The 18,106-nt window shown below is 38.5% G+C and overlaps 1 long non-coding RNA gene across 1 annotated transcript in view; it reads right to left on the bottom strand.

The window, feature by feature from the left end:
* Positions 1 to 7,208: 7,208 nt before the first annotated feature.
* Positions 7,209 to 18,106, bottom strand: part of LINC00624 (long intergenic non-protein coding RNA 624) — a 135,684-nt gene continuing 124,786 nt past the window's right edge. Inside the window, exon 4 of the long non-coding RNA NR_038423.2 lies at positions 7,209 to 9,880. This is a non-coding gene — a long non-coding RNA (long intergenic non-protein coding RNA 624). The remainder of the gene's footprint in view (positions 9,881 to 18,106) is intronic.

Consider the following 18,106-nt stretch of genomic DNA (forward strand, 5'->3'; position numbering starts at 1 on the left):
ACAATTTGACTTCCTCTTTTCCTAATTGAATACCCTTTATTTCCTTCTCCTGCCTAATTGCCCTGGCCAGAACTTCCAACACTATGTTGAATAGGAGTGGTGAGAGAGGGCATCCCTGTCTTGTGCCAGTTTTCAAAGGGAATGCTTCCAACGTTAGACCTGAAACCATAAAAACCCTAGAAGAAAACCTAGACATTACCATTCGGGACATAGGCATGGGCAAGGACTTCATGTCTAAAACACCAAAAGCAATGGCAACAAAAGCCAAAATTGACAAATGGGATCTAATTAAACTAAAGAGCTTCTGCACAGTGAAAAGAAACTACCATCAGAGTGAACAGGCAACCTACAGAATGGGAGAAAATTTTTGCAACCTGCTCATCTGACAAAGGGCTAATATCCAGAATCTACAATGTACTCAAACAAATTTACAAGAAAAAAACAAACAACCCCATCAAAAAGTGGGCAAAGGACATGAACAGACACTTCTCAAAAGAAGACATTTATGCAGCCAAAAAATACAAGAAAAAATGCTCACCGTCACTGGCCATCAGAGAAATGCAAATCAAAACTACAATGAGATACCATTTCACACCAGTTAGAATGGCGATCTTTAAAAAGTCAGGAAACAACAGGTGCTGGAGAGGATGTGGAGAAATAGGAACACTTTTACACTGTTGGTGGGACTGTAAACTAGTTCAACAATTGTGGAAGTCAGTGTGGCGATTCCTCAGGGATCTAGAACTAGAAATACCATTTGACCCAGTCATCCCATTACTGGGTATATACCCAAAGGACTATAAATCATGCTGCTATAAACACACATGCACACGTATGTTTATTGTGGCACTATTCACAATAGCAAAGACTTGGAACCAACCCAAATGTCCAACAATGATAGACTGGATTAAGAAAACGTGGCACATATACACCATGGAATACTATGCAGCCATAAAAAATGATGAGTTCATGTACTTTGTAGGGACATGGATGAAATTGGAAATCATCATTCTCAGTAAACTATCGCAAGGACAAAAAACCAAACACAGCATGTTCTCACTCATAGGTGGGAACTGAACAATGAGAACACATGGACACAGGAAGGGGAACGTCACACTCTGGGGACTGTTGTGGGGTGGGGGGAGCGGGGAGGGACAGCATTAGGAGATATATCTAATGCTAGATGACGAGTTAATGGGTGCAGCACACCAGCATGGCACATGTATACATATGTAACAAACCTGCAGGTTGTGCACATGTACCCTAAAACTTAAAGTATAATAATAATAAAATAAAAATAAAAAATATATAAAAAAGTTTGGTCCTTTGCCGAGTGGCTCATATTGCTCTACATTTTGAAATAGTTGTCCTCAGTTTTTAAAGTTTTTTTGCTCTTACTTTGTTGTCATGCTGTCAGCTATCGCTGTGTCTGTGTGTGTACTGGCAACCAGCAGAGTTCTGCATTTCATGTCAGCTCTTAGCATCATTTCTTTGTTGGTGGGGGGGGGGCGCGTGGGGTGACTGTGGTGGTTTGGTAATTTCATTGTCTTTTTTCTTTTTTTTTTTTTGTAGACAGGGTCTCGCTCTGTCGCCCAGGCTGGAGTGCAGTGGCGTGATCTCAGCTCACTGCAAGCTCCGCCTCCCGGGTTCACGCCATTCTCCTGCCTCAGCCTCCCGAGTAGCTGGGACTACAGGCGCCTGCCACAATGCCCGGCTAATTTTTTGTGTTGTTTGTAAAGATGGGGTTTCACCATGTTAGCTAGGATGGTCTCGATCTCCTGACCTCATGATCCGCCCACCTCGGCCACCCAAAGTGCTGGGATTACAGGCATGAGCCACTGCGCCCGGCCTCATTGTCTTTTTAAAAAATACTTCTTTTCTCAATTTTGTTATGGATATATGAGGCTGGGAAGCTGATCACCAGAGAAATAAAATGTAATTGAGATTCTATGATATTTCTGTTTCTTTTTTATCACAAGAAAAGTGATTAAAGAAATCCAGCTGTGAGTGGGATGTACAATACATATACATGGTACATATGTCTTGTACATATTATATATATTGTATCTTTTATAGCTTGCTACAAAAGGGGAAAAAACTTGAGGTACACCTTAGAGAAGCTAAAGAAACACAGTGTCATGAGTGGAATGATTTTTCTAGTGATTTCCAGATGTCTTTTTAAGGGTAACATTGACTTGTCAGGAATAGGCACAAGCTGTGTATTCTAACAGAGACCACTGCCGTAGATGAGGCTGCAGGGGAGATGCCTATGCTAGGACACACACAATGTCAGTCAGAGGATGATTAGAGGGAAGGTTCCCTCTAATTTTTGTATGAATAATGCAGTTGTAAGGAAGATAAGCTGGCATTCAAATCCAGTCCTATCTGACCGCTAGGTTTGAGTGCTTTCTACAGAAACATGTGACCTCCACAAACAAAATGCACATCCTACATGGGCCACTGTTTGCTTTCTGGGAGTTCAGTCCTGGGCTGAGCTGCCAAACATAAAACCTTCTTCCTCCAAGAGCCACAGAAGTGTGGCCAAGTCTCTTTCTTAGTAATACTATGGTTAAAAATGAATACACAGTGTTAGTGACAAAGCTGGTCTCCCAAAAGATGGGGTCTTTTTCTGTTCAGTGTCATGAAGCCAATACACAAAACTGAAAATGAATTGTCAAGCAGTTCGGGCTTCATTTCATGGCCATGGAATGGAGAAGTGGGAACACAGCTCATACATCAACTTCTCAACAAGTGATGGGTGAGGAGGTTAAAATATAGGATTTCTCTAATGAAGGGGTTGGATATTAAAAACAAGGAGAGGAATATTCCTTTCTTTTCCAGAAATGTGTAGTGAACTTTCTGGAGCTGGACTGCTGCCTTTCTTTTTGTCCTTTTATGGCTTCTTCTGGTCATTGTCATGTAATTGTCAACTGTCATAGCACTGCTGGGAGTGTCATTTAGCATGGAAATGAGATTATAATGAAGCCCGAGATCTTTCTGAAGTTGTTTGGTCAGCTATCTTGGTTCTAGCCAGACTCAGCTGGTCTGGTTACAAAGGGAACTTTCTATCGAAGGCATCCTGTTTCTTAAAGATAAGCAGAGTTAGGAAAGGGTAGAAATTCAGCTCTGTCATGTAGTAACAATAGCAACATCAGTGTGGATAACCTAAACTCAGGGGCAAAGATGACCAGCTTGGCTTGCAGCTTGGACTGAAAAACAAAACAAACAAAAGCCCTATTTCTATGGCTTCATCTGATGAGCTTAAAAGCAGGAATTACCTCACCTAGTTGTTTTGTCTATAACCCTATATGTTTTTCCTCATTCTGTTGTACGCACTGAGAAGCTGGGTTAACATTAAGTCATAACAAATTCGGTGACAGTGAATTTTGAGAGACTTACTTTCAGATAATTTACTGCCAAATTAACACAGAGCAGTTAATCACTTTTAATGTCTCTTTTCATACATCTACTTTCATCAAAAAGGTCCTTTCTGTTTAATTACTCTGACCCAAATATTTAGAATAAATATTGCTGCCATCACAGATTCAGTCTAGGGAGGAATTTAATGGGAGTAAAAACACTCACATGAAAAATAGCATTCAGAAATACAGAAGGAAAAATATATAAGTAAATGTGATATAATATTTATTTCACTCAGAAAGATCACTCAGGCAATTTGTATATATATCAGGGCTCTAAAAAGTAATTTTCACTGTAACTCTTGGTCAAAACAGCCAGTACTATTTGCTTACATGATAACAGGATTAGGACTAACCATACATTATGACCTTCGCTGACTGTACAACTTTGCAAATACACCATTCTGGAAGACACACAAAGCTACACTTTCACACAGGACACCCAACCAATTTTCTGACACCAAATGGGTGTCCTGCAATTCAATTAAATTCCAACACTCTCTACCTGGAGTTAGCATCAGATCTCACAAGTTAAGGGCTGTCCCACAAATCTACCCCCACTTCAGACGCCAATCTCAAGCCTAGCTATAATTCAGGAGTTCCCACAATCCCCTCCTTGGGTTCAATAATTTGCTAGAATAGCTCACAGAACTCAGGGAAACTCTTTATTGTATTTCTTTGGTGGGGGGTGAGGTGATTGTGGTGGTTTGGTGTTTTCATTGTCTTTTTAAAAAATACTTCTTTTCTCAATTTTGTTATATGAGTTATATATGTTAACTAGTATATTATGTTAACCAATATATTATAAAGAATACAACTCAGGAACAGCTAGATGGAAGAGATCATAGGGCAAGGTATGCAGGGGAGCTTCTCCAGTGTGCCACCCCTGAGCACCTTGATGAGTTGACCAATGCAGAAGCTCATCAAGTCTCATTCGTCAAGAGTTTTTATAGAGCTTGATCATTAGCTCCACCACCTACTTTCAGGAGGTTGGTAGATGGAGGTGAAAATTTCAACCTTCTAATTTCTTAATCTTTCTAACGACCATTCCCATCCTGAGTCTATCTTTTTCGCGTAAACTCTATGACCCCACCTAAGTCATCTTATTAGCATAAACTCAGGTATGATCAAAACTACGTCATTATGAGTAACAAAAGACATTTCTATCACTCAGGAAATTCCGGGGTTTTAGGAGCTCTGTGCTAGGAATCTGGGACAAATATCAAATATATTTCTTATTATGCCACAAACATGTTGACAGGAAACTTAAATAGGGAACCCTTTTATAGAAGAGGCAACTCAAGACAACTCGAAAACTGGTGATGCCCTAAGGAAAGTCAGAGGAGACTTGATTGCTTTCTTACAAAAAGTCACAGCTTTTGACATTTTGCACAACCTGATTCAAAGTTTCTGGTTCAATTGTACTGAATTCTAGTCAGTTCTCTTCCTCCTTCTGCTCCTCCTCTTTCTTACTTGATGCAATTGGACCTAGAAAACCTTAGGCCTAGAAGACACTTAGAACTAAATTTGAATGTTGGCTTTACCACTTACTAGTTGTGTGCTCTTATGAAGTTCTTTAAATTCTTTGATCCTCAATTTCCTTATCTATATACAGCCCTGCATTTCTTAACAACAGGGATGATTCTGAGAAATGCATTGTTAGGCGATTGTGCGCTATGATAACATCATAGAGTATAATCACACAAACCCAGAAGGTATGGCCTACTACACACCTACGCTATATGATATCATCTGTTGCTTCTAGGCTACAACCCTGTACAGCATGTCACTGTTATGAATACTATAGGCAGTTATGACACAATAGCATTGGTATATCTAAACATATCTAAACATAGAAAAGGTACAGTAATAATATGGTATTTAAAATTAAAATTCACCTGTATAGGGCACTTACTATAAATAGAACTTACAGGACTGCAAGTTGCTCTGGGTGGGTCCCTGAGTGAGTGGTGAATGAATGTGAAGGCCTAGTACATTACTGTACACTATTGTAGACTTCGTAAATACTGTATACTTGAGCTCCACTAAATTTATTAAAATTTTTTTCTTCAATAATAAATTAAACTTATCTTACTGTATCTTTTTTACTTTATAAATTTTAATTTTTTAACTTGTTGGCTTTTCTGTAATAACATAGCTGAACATGCAATATGGCTCTACAAAAATTTTTATTTATATCCTTATTCTACAAGTTTTTTTCTATTTTAGAAATTTTTTATTTTTATTTTTTACTTTTTAAAATTTTTTGTTGAAAACTAAGACACAGAACGTATCTTGTCCCACTGGGAGGTCTTCAGGGGCAATAACACGCATGTAGCTGTCATCTCCTAGAATAACAATGCCTTCTTCTGAAATACCTCCTGAAGGACCTGCCTGAAGCTGTGTTACAATAACCTTTTTTCTTTTCTTTTTTTTTTTTTGTAAACGGAGTCTTGCTCTGTCGCCCAGGCTGGAGTGCAGTGGCATGACTTCGGCTCACTGCAACCTCCACCTCCCGGGTTCAAGCAATTCTCTTCTTCAGCCTCCCGAGTAGCTGGGATTATAGGCACACGCCACCATGCCTGGCTAATTTTTGTATTTTTATTAGAGATGGGGTTTCACCATCTTGGCCAGGCTGGTCTTGAACTCCTGACCCCGTGATCCACCTGCCTCGGCCTCCCAAAGTGCTGGGATTACAGGTATGAGCCACTGCGCCCGGCCACAGTGACCTTTTTTTCATAAGTAAAAGGAGTACACTCTAAAATAACAGTAAAAAACTATAGTATAGTAAATATTATATATAAAGCAGTAACATAGTCATTTGTTACCATTATCAAGTATTAGGTACTGTTCATAATTGTATGTGTTATGCTTTTATGTGACTGGCAATGCAGGAGATTTGTTTATATCATCACCACAAACATGAGTAATGGGTTGTGCTACAACATTATGATGGCTACAACATTACAGATGATAGAAACTTCTCAGCTCCACTATAATCTTATGGGACTACTGTCTTAAATGCAGTCCATCACTGACTGAAACTATGTGGTGCATCACTATATATTGGGGAAAATAATAGTATCTACCTCATAGTATTGTTGTTAGGATTAAGTGATATAAAGCATATATGAGTACACAAAGGCATACAGAGTGATATAATGGACTTTGGAGAATCAGAAGTGGGAGGTTGGAAGAGGTTCTCAGGATAAAAAAAACTACCCATTAGGTACAATGTACACTACTTGGGTGACAGGTGCACTAAAATCTTCAAATTCACCACCGTATAATTCATCCATGCCACAAAAAACCACTTGTACCCCAAGAGCTATTGAAATAAAAATTTAAAAATATAAAGTACTTAGCATGAAGCCTGGTACATGGTAGGGGCATTATAAATATTAACTATTATTTGTATTATTAACAAATATGGATAATTAACTTTACCAATCTATGGTTCTTATAAGTGCCATTTTAGTTACCTTTTCAGATTGATTGCTGACTTCTGGAAACTGAGATAAGTATGATGAGCACTTGAGGAGGTCACTGTTCTGTCCTGATTTGTAGGATTTACATGTAGATGGTCCCAATGTCAGTCAGTAATACAAATTTATAGCAGTACAAGCTACAAAAATCTTGCTTACTGTGAATTAATCTTTCTTGCACATCTTACTTAGTAATGATAGTTTTCCTTGTCCTGAGTAAATATCAGTCAATAGCCAGATTAATTGCTTCTGCAATTAATTGCTCCCCAGATGTTACGGCTCTACCAAAAACAAGTTAAAAATATGTTAATTATTTTATTGATACATAATAGATGTACATATTTTGAGGGTACATGTGACAATTTAATACATCCATATAGTTTGTAAAGATCAAATCAGTGTAATTGGAATACATGTGTTCATTTTTTATATACATCATATGCGTGCTGTAACAAGGTGCTCCGCAGGCTCATCTCAGGCCAGGAGGCTCATTGCTGAGTTTTCACATGAGACCCAGGTCCAGAAGGCTTTGCACCGTGGCTCCTTTACAATTCTCGGAAAAGTGCTCCTGTTACGTGCATGTGGACAGATCTTGACCTTGGTTGATGAACCCAGAGTAAGACTGAGGGCCAGCTTCAGAGAATAGTCCACTCATTAAAGAGTTGAAACAAGGCTGGTATTCAAGAAAGCACACTGAATATTCTAGTTTCTCACACATCATAGAAAAAGAAGTTGATGAAAATATAAAGTTGGAAACAGGACATTTCTAGTTTCAGGAAAACAAAATTGTTGGGTTTGGGTAGTTACTAATAATCTCTAAAACCAATATGACTGACACCTGTGGCTTGAGAAGCTCCAAGAGAGTAAGAGAAGGGCGCTGTAATGGAACGTGATGATTCCCCACATTGTCTCTCTAGGTTGCCTCGCTCCCTCCCAGGTCACTGTCATCACCAGTGGCCACTTTTTCAGTTCTGTGGGCCCCTTTTTCCATTGGTATTAATTCTATCATCAAATTTCCACACCTGTACTTGGCTGTGGGTTGAAAATTCTCAGGAGAGAATGTGATTATTTCTGTGCCCAAGGTAGGTATTCAATAACTGTCTATTAATAAGTTCTGAAAATGAGCAAACAAAAATCCCTTCCTATAGCCTTCTAAAACCCACAGAAACATGAAATTCTTTCTCTCTTTCTCTCTCTTGGTAAAGGGGTGCATACTGCAGGAAACAGTGGGTTAAGCTATATGGAGGAATTTATAGCCAAGACATTCTAAATACATTCAACTCAGTCTTATTCATCATCAATTGACAAAGCAGATGAAGGTATCTATCTAAGACTAAATGACTTCTATCTGTGCATCTGTAAATTCCACAGGAATCCAAGGATGAAAATGGAAGATGTGGCCTACTTCTGCATCACGAGATCAGAGAATTACAGATGTGACCCTCACTTACAGGTGAGGCCCACTGGTGAATCTCCCCTCCGTACCAGGCAAGTTGAACAAAATTAGACAATTCAAGACTAAAACAGAAATAACCAATTTCCACTACAGCAACATGGACCCTGAATTCTTGGTGTGAATAAATAGGCAAATAAAGGAAATAAAATTCAGTGCATGTAAATTTCTTGGATTTTCAACCTAGAAAGACAGTGCAGGCAATTGTCACATTCCATTGTTGCTCTTCTGTTACTCTCTTAGAGCTTCTCAAGACATAGGTATTGGACATATTCAGTTTTAGGAATAATTAACTACCTGTACCCAACAACCTTGTTCTCCTAAAATCAGTATCTTTGGATACTCGTGTAATTATTCAAGATTGCTCAAGAATCCATTCTGGGGCAGAGTCTGTTGAATAGGTTTATAAATGATGATAAGGAAGGAGTACATAGTGAAGTCTCAGACTCCAAGATATACAAATCTCCCCAGAAAGAAGACACCCCAGAGAAGAGAGACATTATAGAATAATCCTGAGATTCGTGTCAATGGGCAGAGCCTTAAGAGATGTTATAATGTGTGTGAGGAAAAAGTAATGAATTTATGAGTAATCTAAAACACATCTATAAAATGAAAGACTATCCCTTAGATTCTGCTCAAGAAAAAGACCCAGAGTCATTAAATGTTGACCCCAGCATATGTACCAATATTCTGCATCAGGCAAAAAGACCTAGAAAATGAAGAAAATCATTAAGGACTATACTGGAAAGCAAGCTTTATACTGGTATATCTCTGTTTGAAAAGATTTATGTAGTTCTTGCTGCTATGCCTCAAAACCAAGTTTGCCATAACTTGAAAAGATCCAGAGAGCACAAGCTCAAAATAATTGGAGATATTGAGAATTATAAAAAGAATTTTTTGTTTAAGGTTAGATTTGTACTTCCAATATGGAAATCTAATTAGAAGTAATTAAATCTATATAACCATAAATAGTACAAATAAAGTGAACAGAGATTTGCTTATTCAACAACTTTAAAGACCTGGGACAGGGAGATGGTAATTTTTGAAACTCATAAAATGAATGCATTAGCCAAAGAGGTAGGTGTGACAGGAAATAGAAATGCATTTCAAAACATTTGGACAAATTTTGGCTGATGCAGTTATCAATGACTTTGAAATTGATTCAACTCCTGGAATTAAGATGGCTTCAGAAGGGGCAGTAGAAGTATTTCCTTGACATTTTTGTGGGCAGGATAATTCAGATGTGGATTGACCATATGCTCAAATATTCCCAAACAGCTCATGAGTTATAAAAGTTTGAAAACTATTGATATAATCAAAATATTACCTTTAATCCATTCAGCATACCACTTTTTATCCTTCTTCCTTTTAATTTCAAGGAAGTTGAATACCCAGTACAGTGAAGACAAACCTTCAGTAGTGAACGCTTCCCTTTGATCGATGGCCAGAGGTCAGGACTCTCCAGCAATTCTGATGAATGTATGTAACTTCTTGGTTCTTTCTCTATTGTTTCATCTTAAATTCTGCAAAGGAGATGATGCAGATGAGCAATGCTGCAGTTCCTTCTCATTTGCATTTTACTAGCTTTATGACAGTTTCCTTCTTGCATGATATTACCTAATTACATCCTTCAAGGAAGCACTAACATACCACTCTCCACTTTCAATTACTCACTCCAACGAAGGAAATCATGAAACACCCATCCCTTCTCAGAAAATTCACCCAGCAACTGGGTCACTGTGGGACAAAGATCGTGTGAAGGAGTGGAACTACAATCTCAGTCAGGAGGTCCTAAGACAAGCCAAGCTCTGGCCCTGTTTCCCTTCAAGCCAACTTCCTAGCCATACAATAATACAAGTCTCAGACCCATATATGCCCAGATGGTACTACCCAACTTACTGCTCATGTACTTCAATGAATTTGTTCCAAAAACAGCTTATTTCAAATAACTTTGGGATGTTTCCAAAAATCATCCATTTACAAGAAATCATCTTTTCCCAATACTTCAAAAAAAAAAGGGCTGTAATCTCTGAAAACCTTTGGAAAGAGAAAATCCAGACTAATGTTGAGCAGCTTGTGTTGCAGTTGGTGTGTAGCTTCCTAGGGGTTTGCTACACCTTTTACATATGGATGATCAGGCCTATGTAAACTTGTGAAGATGTGTCTTTGATGCCTGATTTTCCTTCCTTGACTCACTTTTATTTTTTTTTAAAGTTCTGGGGTACATGTGCAGGATGTGGAGGTTTGTTATGTACATAGGTAAACATGTGCCATGGTGGTTTGCTGCACCTATCAAACCATCACCTAGGTATTAAGTCCAGCATGCATGAGCTATTTTTCCTGATGCTTTCCCTCCACCTTCCCCATCACTGCCCTACAAGCCCCAGTGTATATTGTTCCCCTCTATGTGTCCATGTGTTCTCACTGTTCAGCTTCCACTCATAAGTGAGAACAAATGGTATTTGGTTTTCTGTTCCTGTGTTAGTTTGCTGGGCATAATGGCTTCCAGTTCCATCCATGTCCCTGCAAAGGAAATGATCTCATTCCTGTTTATGGCTACATAGTATCCCATGGTATATATGTACCACATTTTCTTTATCCAGTCTATCATTAATGGGCATTTTGGTTGATTCCATGTATTTGCTATTGTGAACAGTGATGCAATGAACCTACAAGTGGGTTTACTAGGTCATATGGTAGGTATGTGTTTAACTTTTTAAGCTGCCGCCAAACTGTTTTCTAAAGAGATTTGTTATTTTACATTCCTAATAACAACATATGAAAGTTTCAGTTGTTCCATATCTTTGGCAACACTTGGTTTGGCCCTTTAAATTTTAGCCATTCTAGAGGAAGTTTACTGGTATCTTATTTTAATTTGTGTGACCCTAATGAATAATGATGTTGAGCATATTTCATATACTTATTTGCTACTTATACATCTTCTTTGGTGAAATGTCTGTTCAAATTTAACTATTTTTAAATTTGGTTGTTTGTCTTATAGTTGAACTGTACATTTTTTTGTACTAGATACAAGTCCTTTTTTGGATATCTGTTAGCAGATATTTTCTCCCAATCTGTGGCTTTGCTTTTCACTTCCATTAGAGTATCTTCTTGAAGAGCAAAAGTTTTTAAATTTTGATGATGGCAAATATATGAGTATTTTCTATCTCATGCTTTTAGTGTCTTATCTATGAAATCTTTGCCTCACCAATGTCATTAAAATTTCTCCTATATTTTTGTAGAACTTTAATAGTTTTAGATTTTATATTTAGGTCTATGATTGATTACAAGACTATGTAGTACACAGAAATTTCATTAGCTATTCTAGGTTTTTCAAATTTCCACATAAATTTTAGTATCAAATTGTCATCTTTTTTTAAAAAAAGAGAAAAACCCTGCTATTATTTTGAATGGTATTATATAGAATCTATAGAACAATTTGGAGATAAGTAACATGTTAATATGGAGTCTTCCTATACATGAACAAATTCCCAGCTTTGTTTTTTTAAAATAGTTTCTGCTATTCTGAGTCTTTTGAGTTTTCACAGAATTTTTAGAATCTGCTTGTTTGTCTCCACACAAAATCTACTGGAATTTTGAATGGCACCAAACCCATAGATCAATTTGGAAAAAATTGCCATCTTAAACAATATTGAGTTTTCCAATCCAAAAACATTGAAAGTTTGTACATTTACTTAGAGTTAAAAAATTATCTCTACAAGGTCTTTTTTTTTCTTTTTTCAACTTTTATTTTAGAATCAGGAAGTACATGTGCAGGTTTGTTATTATACGAAGGTATATTGCATGATGCTGACTCTACAATGTTTTGAAACTTTCCATGTACAAGACTTGCATACCGTCTATTAAATGTATTCCTACATGTGGTATTCTTTTTAATGCTTTTATAAATTCATAATTCCCTTTTCAGATTGTTTATAGCAGGTAGACAGAAATACAACTGATTTTTGTATATTGATCACATATCTTGTGACCTTGCTAAATTCCCTTATTAATTCTAGGATTTGTTTTGTTGTTATTGTTGTTTCTTGCGTAGACTCCCTAGGGTTTTCTACATGGACCACTGTGTCATCTGCACATAGGTATAATTGTTTTTTTTTTCCTTTTGATCCATATGTCTTTTCTTTCCTTTTATTTTCTTTTTGCATGGGCTACAACCTCCCATAGAGGTTAGAATGAATCGAAGAGGTTAGAGTGAACATCCTTGCCTTTTACCCAATCTTAGATGGAAAGTCTTCAGCCTTTTATCATTAAGACTGATGTTTGCCATAGGTTTTTTTGTAGATGGCTTTCACCAGACTGAGAAAGCTATCTTTTATTCCAAGTCTTTTGAGATTTTTTAAAATCATAAATAGGTATTGAATTTTGTCAAATATTTTTCTGCATATATTGAAATTATCATGTGGTTTTTGTCCTATATTATTTTAATATGATGTATTTCATTAATTGTTTTTTGGATGTTAAACAGCGTTGCACTCCTGGGATGCATCTTACCTAGTCATGGTGTATAATTCTTTTTCATATTCTTAGATTTCATTTTCTAATATTTCCATTTATATTCAGAAGAGATGTTGGTCTATAGTTTTCTTTTCTTGTAATATGCTTATCTTACTTTGGTATGAGGATAATATGGCCTCATAGAATGAGTTGGAAACTGTTCCTTCTGCCTCTATTTCCTGGAAGAGCTTGTGGAGCAGCAGTCTTATGTCTTTGTTAAGTGTTTGATGGAATTCACTTGCAAAGTCATGTAAGTCTGAGTTTGTATTTGTGAGAAGGTTTTAACTACAAATTTCTTTACAGATTTTGGATCTATTCAGATGTTTCATTTCTTCTTGAGTTAGTTTTGGTAGTTTATGGGGTTTTTTAAGAATTTGACTATTTCACCTAAGTTGTCTAATTTGTTGGCATAAAGTTCCTCATAATATTCCCTTATGATGCTTTTCATTTAATTTGAAATATTCTTTTTCTTTTCTAATATAGGCATTTAAAGTCATATGAATTTTTCTCTGTGTTGCTTTAGCTGCATCCCATAAATTGTAATATGTGTGGTTTTCATAGTGATACAATTTAAAATACTTTCTAAATTTTTGGTAATTTCTCCTGATTCATTCATAATATAATTCATTCAGAAATATATTGCTTAATTTCCAAATATTTGTGGAGTTTCCAAATTTCATTTTGTTGTTGGTTTCTAATTTAATTCCATTGTGGCTGGGGAACATACTTTGTATTATTTAAATACTTTCATGGAAAGGGACAAAATGGCTGACTAGACACAGCCAGGAAATGCCTCTCCCACAAAGAGAATCCAGGATTTCAAGTAAAACATCATAGTTCAAACAGATCATTTGAGAGAAAACACAAAAAGTTGATAGAGAGGTGACAGAGACACTGAGGGTGAAGAAGGAGGAAGCTAGGCGCCTGCATGGAGTCACTCAGAGTGACAAGACCAGCTCCTGATCCTGAGCAGGTCCTAGGGAAGCAGTGAGTGAAGGAACTCCCAGGCACCACACTCCCGCCACACACCTCTGGGATCCAGACTACAAGAGATCCCATGACCCCCACAGGCATTTGAACTGATAGAGGAAACTGCCTTGAAGCAGAACTGGAACCTGCATGGAGTCCAGAGCTACAGCAAAAATGTGAGCATAGGCTCCCATTCCCCAAGGCTCTCCATTTTGTTCTGTGTGGCTCTAGCCCCTGCTGACTGCCGGGCTGGGAGAGAGCAGAGCTACCTTTCCCGTGGGACAGGGGCACATCTGATACACATGGCCCTTGTACACCAGCTCCTCCCAAGGCCACATGCCTGGCTGCTCCTGCAACAGGGAGCACAGAGCACAGCCTCCAGCCTCCACTGCTCCACCTGAGTATTTTTGCCAATCGCCTGGCAGCAGTTTGGCTCCCCGGAACACAGCCAGTGCTCAACCCCAAGAGGCCAGAGGGCAAAGCCATGGGCCTGGTCCCCAACCCCCAGGGATTGTGCACACTGCCCAGGGGCATCAAGCTGAGATCTGTGACCTGACCTCAAGCAAGGGAAAAGCCTCCACTCTCAGAACACTGAGAAGAGTGAGGCGTGAGTTTGTGGGCATGTGCTGGCGTGGGACTTGAGCATCTCTTCCTATGCAAAGCTGGCCTGGGAAGAGCCTAGCCTGTTGACCAGCTGCAGCTTCTGCCCAAGAGGGCCCCAAGGCTTGGAACACCTGGAACAACCCAGCGATCTGGATGCAGAATGCTTGAGACAAATCTAGCTGGTCAGGCCTCCTCCTGGGGCAAACATCTGAGGGAGGCTCAGTTGGGGGACTGCAAGCTCAGTAGACCCCATAGCCATCTCCTGGGCAAAAATAAAAAACCCAGGCCGTGGACGCCACACCAGCTGCACACTCGTGGCACTACCACCCTGCCCAGGGATCCTCCGCCCATGATCCACTGCATCACCAGGCCAACGCAGACATAGCCCACAACCCTCTCTGGCTCTGCCAAACACAGAGAATCAGCAGGTTCCCTGGAGTGGTGGGTCTCTTGTTGACCCAACCTGTGGATCTGACTGCCCCTAACGGAGGTGGGAGTGCAGGCCACCAGGACCCCCACTGGAACTAAGGAACATAGACACAGTGCTAGTGATTGGAGGGGGGTCCCTCAAGGCCCAGGAGCAGATACCACGAGGGAGACATCTCTTGCCCTCCCCTCTCCCTCTTCCCCTAAGCACTGCTGCTAATGCACATAGCTAACAGCATATCTGCTGGCTCTTACTCTTAAGTGCCATCTACTGGATCATGACATGAATTACACCACCAACCAAAAGTAAATTTGTTGGGCAGGCAAAGCCTGTGAAACCCAGTGCAGGAAACTAGCCACAATTAAGGAATGCCCACAGACCCTTTACCCTTTGAAAGCACCCAGAAATGAAGCCAATCGACTATACACAACATACACCACAGTCAAAACCTCAAGGGGAAAAAAAGAATATAAAAACAAAAAGCCCCACTCAATCAACAGCAACTTTAAAAAGACAAAGAGACACCAGCCCTCTCAGATGAGAAGGAATCAGTGCAAGAACTCCAGCAATTCAAAAAGTCAGAGTGTTTCCTTACCTACAAAGTATCGCCCTAGCTCCCCAACAACGTGTCCTAACCAGACTGACATTTCTGAAATGACAGACATAGAATTTAGAATCTGAATAACAAGGAAGCTCAATGAGATTCAAGAGAAAGTTGAAACCCAAACTAAGAAAGGCAGTAAAATGATCCAAGAGTTGAAAGACAACATAGCTATTTTAAAAAAGAATCAAACTGAGCCTCTGAAATTGAAAAATTCACTACAGGAATTTCAAAATACAATGGAAAGCCTTAACAACAGAGCAAACCAAGCTGAGAAAAGAATTTCATACCTCAACAACTCAACCAGCAAAAAAGAAAAAACTCCATTAAATAGTGGGCAAAGGATATGAACAGATACTTCTCAAAAGAAGACATAAAAGTGGCCAAAAAACATATGAAAAAATGCTCAACATCAGTAATCATCAGAGAAATGCAAATCAAAACCACAACAAGGTACCATCTCACACTAGTCAGAATGGCTATTATTAAAAAGCCAAAAAGTAACAAATGCTGGTGAGGCTGTGGAGAAAAGAGGATGCTTATACACTGTTGGTGGGAATGTAAATTAGTTTGTCCTCTGTGAAAAGCAGTTTGAAGATTTCTCAAAAAACTTAAAAAAAAACAAAAAACAAAAAACGACCACTTAACCCAGCAATCCCATTACTGGTTATATACCCAAAAGAAAATAAATCATTCTACAAAAAAAAGACACATGCACTCGGATGTTCGTCACATCACTTTACAATAGCAAAGACACGGAATCAACGTAGGTACCCATCCGTGGAGGATTGGATAAAAAAAATATGGTACATACACACCACGGAATACTACACAGCCATAAAAAAGAATGAAATCCTGTCCTTAGCAGCAAAAAGGATGCAACTGTAGGTCATCATCCTAAGTGAATTAACACAGAAACAGAAGACCAAACACTGCATGTTCTAAGTGAGCACTAAACACTGGGACTCATGGACATAAAGATGGGAATAATAGACACTGGAGACTACTACAGTCGGGAGGTAAGAAGGGAGGCAAGAGTTGAAAAACTATCGGATACTATGGTCATTACCTGAGTGTTTGCTATGGGTATTGCATGAAATCTGTGTCTTAATCTAAATCTAAAAAGTTCAGATTAATATCAACTTAATTCCCATTATAAACTCATTAACACAAATTTGTAAGTATTGTTTTATCTTTAAAACATTTTTTATTTGATTTTTTTTTTGGGGGGGGAGCAGTGGGGATGGAGGCTTACTTTGTCACCCAGGCTGGAGTGATGAGATCAATCATACACCAAACCTCAGCATCATAGAATATGCCCGTGTAACAAACCTGCACATGTACCCCTTGAATCTAAAGTAAATGCTGAAATTTTTTTTAAAATAAAAATAAATAAACCCTTTAAATTCATTATTGCTTTGTGGTCCAGTATGTGATCTATGCTGGAGAATATTCCACATGTGCTTGAAAAGAATGTGTATTCTACTGTTGGATGGAGTATTTGATAGAGGTCTGTTAGATGAAGTTGGTTAATAGTGTCTTAAAGTCTTTTATATCTTTGCTGGTTTTCTGTCTATTCTATCCATTATTGACAGTGGAGTATTGAAACATCCAATTATTATTGTATTATCTATTTCACCCTTCAATTTTGTCAGTTTTTGTTTCATATCTTTGGATCTTTGTTCTTAAATGCATATATGTTTGTAATAATTAAAGCCTCCTTCTGAATTGACCTTTATGTCATTACAAAATCTCCCTCTTTGTCCGAAGTAAGCTTTTTTGTCTCAAAGTCTATTTTTTTCTGATATTAATATGGTCATTCCAGCTCCTTTACTGCTTGCACAGTGTATATTTTCCATCCTTTTACTTTCAATGTATTTGTATTTTTGAATTGAAAGTATGTCTTTTAAAGAAACACTTATCATATCATTGGATCCTGCCTTTTTTTTTTTTGAGGTGGAGTCTCACTGTCACCCAGGCTGGAGTGCAGTGGCATGATCTCGGCTCACTGCAGCCTCTGCCTCCTGGGTTCAACTGATTTCTCCTGCCTCAGCCTCCCAAGTAGCTGAAATTACAGGCACCCACTATCATGCCCAGCTAATTTTTGTATTTTTAGTAGAGACAGGGTTTCACCATGTTGGCCAGGCTGGTCTCAAACTCCTCACCTCAGGTGATCTGCCTGACTTGGCCTCCCAAAGTGCTGGGATTACAGGCGTGAGCCACTGTGCCTGGCCTGGATCCTGCTTTTTAATCCAATCTGAATCCCTGCCTTTTATTTGTAGTGTTTAATCCACCTACGTTTAATGTAGTTATTGAAATAATAGGAGTTACATCTGCTGTTTTGCAATTTGTTTTCTATATATTTTATGTATTTTTGTTCCTCTACTACTGCTATCTTTTATGTTATATAGAGATTTTCAATTGTAGCATTTAAACTCCCTTATTAGTTTTTTATTGTTTTGGTGACTCATGTTTAAACACAGACTTTAAGCCGGGTGTGGTGGCTCACCCCTGTAATCCCAGCACTTTGGGAGGCCAAGGCAGGCAGATTTCTTTTTTTTTTTTTTTTTTTTTTTTTTTGTAGACGGAGTCTCGCTCTGTCGCCCAGGCTGGAGTGCAGTGGCGGGATCTCGG

The sequence above is a fragment of the Homo sapiens genome, chromosome 1 (assembly GCF_000001405.40).
Source record: "Homo sapiens chromosome 1, GRCh38.p14 Primary Assembly".
NCBI classification, from domain to species: Eukaryota; Metazoa; Chordata; class Mammalia; order Primates; family Hominidae; genus Homo; species Homo sapiens.